Raw genomic sequence first — 9,876 nt, 5'->3', positions numbered from 1 at the left:
TTGTGAGGTGGAAACTATTATAACCATTTCACAAGGAGAAACCGGGTGGAGGCTGGTGTTGGGTAGGCAAGAGGGTCTCATGCACCTGCTCTGGGCCCAGGAGGCCTGCAGGTCCCCCTTAGAGACCCAAGTCCCCAGAGCTGGAGGCCCCTTCTAGAGGAGCTGCCTGGGGCTTTCTGCATCTCCAGCTTGGCCCCATGATTCTCAGAGTTGCCCTGAGCAGCCCTGCTGTGGGCTCAGCGCAGGGGTTCCTGTACTGGTTAGATTAGCTCAGGGTTTCCTGTACTGGGGGATTGGGCTGATGGACCCTTCCTGCCTTTTCTCTCCCTTCCTTCTGCACATGGTGAGGGAGACCCTAAGCCTTTCACTTATGCTTCATTTTAGAAGCTTCTGTGCACTGAGGGTAAGAATGAACACTCAAGTTCTCTCATCACACCCAACCCATGAGTAAGGCTGGCATTAGTTTCTAGTCTACTCTGTAAGCCAGAGGAGAATCCTACCAGAGCACAAGACACAAAGCAGGGAGACCCCTTTGTCAGCAGCTGCACATTGGTGGCCTCAGCCAGGGAGGCCCTGTCAGCTCTTTCCAAGTTATCTTCTCTCAGAGTCCTCCTGCAGCCCTGAACTGTCTTTACTCTCATTATATCCCAAAGCTTCTACTTTCATATGTCACATTCTTATAAAAAGAAGGTACATGAACAAAGCCCCAACGGTAAATATATGTGTTTAGTGGGGTGCTTATTACTTGAGAGCTGAAAAGTAATATGAAATCCCTATTTTGACCTTGGTTTGGATAATGTAATTTCAGCATGAAGACTATGTTTTCATGTTTTAGTCTTCTCCTTCCCAAGTAAGAACACAGTCTGGCTTAAGTCCATCAAATGTCTAAATGAGGCAAAAACATGCCACTATCAGCTTGCTTAAGGCTTTCCAGTTGAGTGGAGTTGCAACTGGAGATCTCAGCTGCTCATTGTTAGTGTCAGCTGGTTAATGCTCCTGTTTTCCAGGCAGGTTGTGTTGGGGACAGCACTTTCCTGTCTCTCCTGTTCGTTCTTCTCAGCCCCTCCTGCTGTCCTCCAACATATAGGGAGGTGCTTCTAGAAAGATGTGACTTCCCTAAAAGAGGCTCTTCTAGACCTTTAGGGTCCTGCTGGCAGAATATTTGCTGACAAGCATGTTATTGAAGGGCAGGGGAGTCCTTTCCTAGCCCAGGGGTAGGCTGTGGACTGTCGAAGGGGTTCTTAGGACACTGAGGGCATTGGACAACCTCCTAGGCTAGCTGGGGTTTATCCCTTTCTTTACTCATTTGGCAAATATTGAGTGAATTCCAGGTACCATGCTGGGACCTGGCCCTGTCTCAAGGGACTCAGACTCCTGGTAGGAGAAATAGAAATGTAAAATAAGCAACTGAGTGCAGAGTGCAAGGGCAGGGTCAGCAAGGGGCCTATAAAAATGCAGAGCAGGGATTGTAGTTCTCATTTATTGTTTCTGTCATTTTTTTTCAGCCAGTGTCATTCCGGAGCCTGCCGTGTATTTGCTCTGCTCACATTTATGATGTGGTATGACTCAACTTGTGTATCTGTTAGAAATAGGAGTAACTCCCTCGTGGGTTTCTCATCAAATAATGGCCACCAACTCTCATTGTTCCCCAGGGGAGAATTTAAATTCTTAAAGAGAAAAAATCATGTCAGGTTTATTCTCTAGTATACACACAGCAACTAGTAGCAAGGTTAATGAAAAGGATAGCGAAGGAAGGATGACCTTTGGGGGTGGCTCTTAAACTTTAACCTAAGAATCATGTGCAGAGCTTGTTAAAACATGGATTCCTACCCCCTAAGACTGATGCAGTAGATCTGGGGTGGAGCCCAAGTATTTGCATTTTGAAGGGCCACAGTTTGAGCAGCATCAGCCTATGGGGTCTTCTTCCCTATCTGAGATTGATGAAAAGAGGTGGCAGTGCATGTTGTTCCCAAAGAACTGCCATGGGATTTGCCACTTGCCACCTTCTTAGCAGGGGCCTGGGCCTGTCATACAGGACAGGTCCAAACGATTGGGGTTCTGTACAGGTGCAGGATGACATAGCCATGATGCAGGTATTTAACACAACCAGTGGAAATATGAATGTGTGCCTTCAGCATTCAGCTTGTTAAGTGAAATATAGGGCTATTAAAATATCTCTGCTTGTGAAACCCTTTTGTTTCTCTTTTAGGATCATTGTCCCTTCTTATGCCATCGGGTTCTTTAAGGAAAAGGACCTGCTGTTGTGGCCACTTGGCTTTAGTTATTCATTATCACTGCCTATTCATGCTGAGTAAGGTTTAATTTGTCTTTGAAATTTAGCAAAGAGCCCAGTGCTGGTGATCTGGCTGTGCTAACTCTCTCACCACACTGCTGAAGAATGCATTGACTCCAGGCATGGGACAGCTACCCACCCACCCGTCAAGTGCTTTTGAATGAAGAGCTCTGACTCAGTCTCCATGAAACTCTGTGATTTCTTTCCTTTCCAGCAATACTTGGAGGCTGGTGTCCCTGTTTAGACTTACTGCAGATCTCATGTATTGGGGCAGTTTTGCAGTCATTGCTGAAAGCTGTCTGTCATTTGTCTGTTGAAATAAGCAGTGTGCTGAAGTGGAAAGAGCTTTGGAGTCTTTCAGGACCTCATTTGGGTGTCCTCTGCTCCAGGACCTGGACTAGGGCAGAGACCTCATCTCTGCACACACAGCACCTAGCTTCTCCCTATCATAGCTTGCAATAGGCATTACTGAAACCAGGCCACATGCCTGCCTCCTTCGCTGGATTTGGAGTTCCTTAAGCACAGGGATTGTCTCTTGTTTCCTCTTTAGCCACAGAGCTCAAAGCAGGGCCTGATGCATGACAACAGCTCACTCAATGGCTGCTGAACTCATTAGGAATTATACAGACCTATGGTCGCATCCTAGCTGGGGATCTCTTACTCACTTCTCTGAGTTGTCACTTTCCCTTTCGGAAAAATGAGGATGATAATATCTATCTGAACACGGACTCTCCATATGCCAGGCTTGATTCTGTGTGCTTCATGAGTATGTCTCATTTAATCCTCAAAACCACCCTATGAGTGGGTATTAACATTGACTATATTTTCAGTTAAGACCCCAAAGGAAGAGAGAAGTTAATGTAAGGTCACTTGATAAATGGGTAGTCAGGATTTGAACTCTGGCTGTTTGACTTCAGAGTCTGTACTTTTAGCCACTGCAGTAGTGGTTCTCAACTGAGGATGATTTTGCCTCCCAGGGGACATTTCACAATGCCTGGAGACAATTTTTATTGTAACTGTTGGGAGGAGGTGCTACTGGCATTTATAGAGCAGAGGCTAGGGTTGCTGCTAGCCATCTGACAATGCACAGGACAGGCTCCCACAACAAGCATTCATTCGGTCCAAAACGTCAGTAGTGTCTCCATTGAGAAACCTTGCACTACGTTGTGCTCCCTCCATAAACTCAAGTTTGCTAAGAGCCAGGCCCAGAGCAGGCCCACAATAAATGATGCTCCGTTCTCAAAGTTTGCAGGTTGTAGTTCAGAGAAGAAGAATCACCCAGTCTCCAGCTTTATTCAGCAGCTCAAGTTTTATTCTTAATGGTTCCCAGCTGCTTGGCTTCTCTATCTTGGGAGTTCCTGTTTTTGTGAGACATGCTGACAGTTATCAAGAGTTGGGGCAAAACTCTCCTTGGGAGAAGTCCAACTTCTCCAAGATCTGGCAAGTTCAGACGTTCCACAGAGAATGCATACCTTCCTGGCCTCTGACCTCATGGCATACATGATTCTGTGTGGTTGGGTTTTGTGCAGTTTCTCCTTTCATGGGAACTGACATTTCTCACCCTTTGCGTGGAAGACCTTGTGGGGTGCTTGCCACCATCAATGAGGCGTTGGTATGAATGCTGTCATGGTTTTGGCCCTTGAAAATGGATAAGCCAAGGAGAAACATGACAGATGGCCTGTCATCCGGAGTAGCAGCCATGCCTTGCATGCTGGGCACTTTGGTTGGAGAGCTGTGAGACCATGGTTTTACCATCGACTCACCAGGTGACCTTGGGAAGTGCCTGGAGCTAACTTCTTCTACTGCCAGCATGAAGTCCACCCACCTACCCTGTACAGTTCCATGGAAGACCTTTGGACAAGCTGGAATTAGGGATCTTTTTATGTATAAATTTTCTAGCCATGAGCATGAGGAAGTTTGACTTAAAATGTTGACCATGTATGCAGCATAAATTCACTCCGGAGTACCAATGGCAAACAATGAACTCTTATATCCAACCTCTTATATGAGTAGAAGCAACTGGCTTCTCTGAGGTCTAAGGAAAAATCTAGTTTTAGTCAGGTTGTTACTTGGAATTTATGTGCTGAAGAGAGTTTGTTCTAACTGATAGACGTAGGACTCCAGATGGAAGAGTCAGTTGCCTCTCTTGGGGGCCGGGTGGGCGGGTGAGGGGGGAAAACAGCCCACAAGAGGATTTTTCAGTGCCCATGCTTCAGATGGTACAAGGATATTTGAAGGACTCTCCAGAAATGAGAATGTACACTTCTCATCATCACTGACAGTGTTTGGAGCTTTGAGTTTCATGAATAGAATGGACAAATTGGCCTGGGTGTGCTGCTAGTATCTTAGGGTGTGACTGCTGCCTCCTGGCTGCAAATATGGAAAATTCTTGGCAAAAATGTAAGAGGGCAATAGAGCTAATGATAAAGTCTTTCCATGTGACCTCTTATCTGAACCAAGTTTGTCACCTAAACGAGACCTAGACAGCCATATCTGGTGAACTGGCCTCAGTCACACCACAGAAGTGAAAGGTGCAGTTCCTGACTAAAACATGGACTGCAGGCACAGTGCTTGCACCCTCAGGGGCACAGTGGTCTCAGACCCATCTTCTTCTTAGGTTGGGAGGTGTCCCTCACATTCTATTTGCAGAGAGGCAAACATCAAATTGAAAGGCTGTTCAAAAGCTTAATGAAATTTATGTCAGCTGATTGAGTTCATGTTTCATCAGATGAACTTGACTCTGTGTATTAGTCTTTCTCACATTGCTATAAAGAAATATCTGAGACTGGATGATTTATAAGGAAAAGAGGTTTAATTGTCTCACAGTTGTGCGGGCTGTACAGGAAGCATGCAGCTGGCCATCTGCTCAGCTTCTGGGGAGGCCTGAGGAAACTTACAATCATGGCTGAAGGTGAAGGGGAAGCAGGCTTACTTACGTGGCTATCACAGGAGCAAAAGGTTGCCAGGGGGTGCTACACACTTTTAAACAATTAGATCTCATGAGAACTTACTCACTATCATGAGGACAGTAGCAAAGGGGAAATCTGCCCCCATGAGCCAATCACCTTCTACCAGGCCCCACCTCCAATACTGAGAATTACAATTTGACGTGAGATTTGGGTGGGGACGCAGATCTAAACCCTATCATTCTGCCTCAGCCCCTCCAAAATCTCATGGCCTTCTCACATTGAAAAATACAATCATCCCTTCTCAACAGTCCCTGAAAGTCTTCACTCATTCCAGGATTAACTCAAAAGTCCACAGTCCAAAGTCTCCTCTGAGACAAGGCTGTTCTCTTCTGCCTATGAGCCTGTAAAATCAAAAGCAAGTTAGTTACTTTTGAGATATAATGGGGTTGTAGGCACTGGGTAAATACTACCATTACAAAAGGGAGAAGTTGGCCAAAAGAAAGGGGCTACCGGCCCCATGCAAGTTCAAAACCCAGCAGGGCAGTCATTAAATCATAAAGCTCCAAAATAATCTCCTTTGACTCCATGTCTCACATCCAGGGCACACTGATGCAATGGGTGGGCTCCCAAGGCCTTGGGCAGCTCCACCCCTGTGGCTTTTCAGGTTTCAGCCCCTTAGCTGCTCTCAAGGGCCAGTGTTGAGAGCCTGCAGCTTTTTCAGGTTCAGGGTGCAAGCTATCAGTGGATTTACCATTCTGGGGTCTGAGGGATGGTGGCCCTCTTCTCAAAGCTCCACTAGGCAGTGCCTCAGTAGAGACTGCGTGTGAGCGTTCAAATTACACTTTTCCCCTCTGCACTGCCCTAGTAGAGGTTTTCCATGAGGGCTCCACCCCTGCAGCAGGCTTCTGCTTGGACATCCAGGCTTTTCCACACATCCTCTGAAATCTAGGTGGAGGATCGCAACCCTCAACTTTGCATTCTGTGCACCCGCAGGCTTAAAACCACATGAAAGCTGCCAAGGCTCATGGCTTGCACTCTCTGAAGCAGTAGCCCAAATTGTACCTGGGCCCCTTTTAGCCACAGCTGGTGCTGGAGTAGCTAGAATGCAGGCAGCAGTGTCCCAAGGCTGGACAGGGCAGCAGGGCCCTGGGCCTGGCCCAGGAAACCATTCAGTCCTGCTAAGCCTCCAGGCCTGTGAGGGGAGGGTCTGCAACAAAGGTTCCTGTAATGCTTTTGAGGCCTTTCCCCATCGTTTTGGATATTAGCAGCTGGCTCCTTATTTATGCAAATTTCTACAGCCTGCTTGAGTTCCTCCTCTGAAAATGGACTTTTCTTTTCTACCACATGGCCAGGCTGCAAATTTTCTAAACTTTTATGCTCTACTTCTCTTTTATATATAAGTTCCAATTTGGGGTCATTTCTTTGCTCACACATATAAGCATAGGTTGTTAGAAGCAGCCAGGCCACATCTTGAACACTTTGCTGCTTAGAAATTTCTCCTACCAGATACCCTAAATCATCACTCTCAAGTTCAAAGTTCCACAGATCCCTAGAGCAGGGGCACAATGCAGCCAACCTCTTTGCTAATGCATAACAAAAGCAACCTTTGCTCCAGTTCCCAATAAGTTCCTCATTTCCATCTGAGACCTCCTCAGCCTGGACTTCATTGTCCATATCACTCTCGGCATTTTGGTGACAATTTAAAAAGTCTATAGGAAGTTCCAAAGACAAGTTTCCCTTGTCTTCCTGTCTTCTTCTGAGCCTTCCATACTCTTTCACCCTCTGCCTGTTACCCAGTTCCAAAGCTGCTCGTACATTTTCAGATATTTTTATAGCAATGCCCACTCCTCATTACCAATTTTCTGTATTACTCTGTTCTCAAATTGCTATAAAGAAATACCTGAGACTGGGTAATTTATAAAGAAAAGAGGTTTAATTGGCTTATGATTTTGCAGGCAGCACAGGATGCATGATGCTGGCATCTACTTATCTTCTGTGGAGGCCTGAGGAAACTTAGAATCATGGCAGAAGGCAAAGGGGAAGCAGACTCATCTTACATGGCTGGAGCTACACACTTTTAAACAACCATATCTCATGAGAAGTCACTCACTATCATGAGGACAGTACCAAAGGAGAAATCCACCCGCATGATCTAATTATCTCCCACCAGGCCCCACCTCCATACAACATTGAGAATTACAATTTGACATAAGATTTGGGTGGGGACACAGATCCAAACCATATCACTGTTCATAGGCTATTGGAGCCTGAGAATTCTAACATAGTCAGAGGGTTCCAAGTTGGATGCCACAGGGCACTGTGCTATTTGCAGTAGTCTAGGAACGGTGGCTCACCCCTGTAATCCCAGCAGTTTAGGAGGCTGAGGCAGAAGGATCGCTTGAGGCCAGGAGTTTAAGATCAGCCTGGGCTACATAGTAAGACCCTCTCTCTAGGAAAAATTTAAAAATTAGCCCAGCATGGTGGCATGTGCCTGTAGTTCCAGCTACTTGGGAGCCTGAGGTGGGAGGATCACTTGAACCCAAGAGTTCCAGGCTGCAGTGAACCATGATCACACTACTGCACTCCAGCCTGGGTGACAGTGTGAGGCCCTGTCTCTTTTAAAAACAAGTAGCAATTTTAGCACTTTAGCACTTTTGTATACCAGCACTGTATGAGGTTCATTATTTATAATCCTTTTAACAGCCTTAAAATTTCTTATTATTTACCCATTTTTCATGTGAAAAAAAATGAGACCCAGAGTGGCTAGCTGACTGTAGATGATTAGTTAGTGGGAAAGCTGGTATTGGAACCTAGGTCTGTCTTCAAAAAACACCTACTTTCTGTCATTACCCTCAGATCAATCCTATATAGTTAGGGAAAAGCTAAGCTGCTATACAGTAACCCAAATACACAGTGGATTAAATAAAATTACCATATTTGAATTACTGTTAAATAACAGTCCCATGGTAGATAAATGGTACAAGAGAGGTGGGTAGCTTCTTGAAGTCATTCTGGGACACAGGTTCCTTCTCTATTGATGCTCCACCATCTTCCAGAATGTTCTCCTCATCTGCATAGTCACTGACTAGTCAATATCATATACATGTTCCAGCCCTTGGTTAAGGAAAAAAGAGAATGAATGGAAGGCAAGCAATTTGCTCTGAAGAAAGTAACCAGAGGTTGTCACTTATTACCTGCCTAAGATGGAGAAAACTTAGTTACCTAGGCATACCTAGCTGCCAGTGAATCTGTAAAATGTGTTTCTGGTGGAGTGGCTGTATGTTCTGCTAAAACTTGGGCTGAATGTGTATGTGTCTTGATGCTAAATAGAAGGAAAGAATGGGGTTTTCAGGACATTTCAGTTGTTAATATACAACTCTACATGAAATTAAAAACATACATGTTTATCTTTAGAAAAAAGTGAAGCGCTTGAAAATTTAATCTGACAAGGTTCTCTTGACCTAGCCATACCTGCCCACTGAGTTGACACCAGCACTAATGAGGAGTGAGATTTTGGTACAATGGCCTAGGCTAAGTGAACAAGGATCCTGTCAGCAGGCTCCTTGCTGATCTTGCCCGGGGCAAGAAGGTTTCCGTGAATCCTGACCTTAGCCAGACTTATCAAGAGGTGGTCACTGATTACTCTCAATAAACACTTGGCTCATCATCCAGTACTTAGGATTACAAGTGGAGCACTCCCTTTTTGGAATTCCTGCTGCTCCTGGAAAACTCCCCACTCTGTAGATTCTAGGGGGTAGGAGGATGGGATTGGCCCAGGAGGATGGTGCTGAAAGTTATCAGGATGTTCTGCTTACTTCATTCTGTCTACTTTTTCAGTGAAGACAAAGGAATTAAAGAATGCCAGTGTCACTCTCTGATGCCTGAGATGAGATATGGGAAATTGTTATAATTTGAAATGCCCTGGAATCTCTTCTGGGATTCTATGCCAGGCACAAACATGTGCCTGAGGTTGGGGCACTGTCGTTCCCATTCACACCCTGTCTTTTTGCATTCCTTTCTCCAACCGTATTGCATGAACAAAAGACCTTTGGTCGTAAGAAATCTGAGTTAGTTTCATGCCACTTTCTCGCTTCATATGTTTGTTGTTTCATCTCTTTGGGATTTCCTAAGCCCCAGGGCCCCTACTCTCAATTCCCACACACTGCCCTGCAATATCTAACCAGCTCTTCATCAATTCCATCTCGTGGCCACCTCTCTTCCTCCGTGGGGTCTTCCTTCACTCCCTGTCTGATCCAGAGCCTTCTTGTCTATGCTCTTGAGGATCTTTGCATTTCTTTCCTTCTTTGTAGTGTAGTGCAGTTCAGTTATCAAAAATGGCATCAGTTAGGGCTTTGCCACTTACTAGCTGTACAAACTTGTGCAAGTTTCTTCCTTTTGCCAAGTCTGTTTTTCAGTAAAGTTAGGTAGCAAAGCATCCATCTTTGAAGACTACTGTGAGGGTCAGATGAGACAGTGTAGGCAAGTTGTTTAGTGCAGTGTCTGGCACATGGGAGGCATTCAGTAAACCTTTGGCTGCCTGGCACCAGAAACCCATCCTGATATTTGGAGGCTGAGTCCTGGAAGGCAGTCACACTTTTTTCCACCATCAAAGCCGAAAGGCCAGATGTGGCTTTTTCTCTGCACTGAGAATGAGAGTGTGGGTTTTGCTCATCA

General features: G+C 45.5%; 1 annotated feature.

Annotated features, from left to right (window-relative positions):
* Positions 2,582–3,138: an enhancer, noted in NCBI's record as "NANOG hESC enhancer chr9:111425130-111425686 (GRCh37/hg19 assembly coordinates)". NCBI's record gives its function as "activates a minimal SCP1, AML or CMV promoter by ChIP-STARR-seq in naive H9 embryonic stem cells {active_cell/tissue: H9 hESC(naive)}" and the evidence as "EXISTENCE:reporter gene assay evidence [ECO:0000049][PMID:30033119]".

Source organism: Homo sapiens, chromosome 9 (genome assembly GCF_000001405.40).
Source record: "Homo sapiens chromosome 9, GRCh38.p14 Primary Assembly".
Classification (NCBI taxonomy): Eukaryota; Metazoa; Chordata; class Mammalia; order Primates; family Hominidae; genus Homo; species Homo sapiens.
This window is presented reverse-complemented; position numbering and strand designations above follow the sequence as displayed.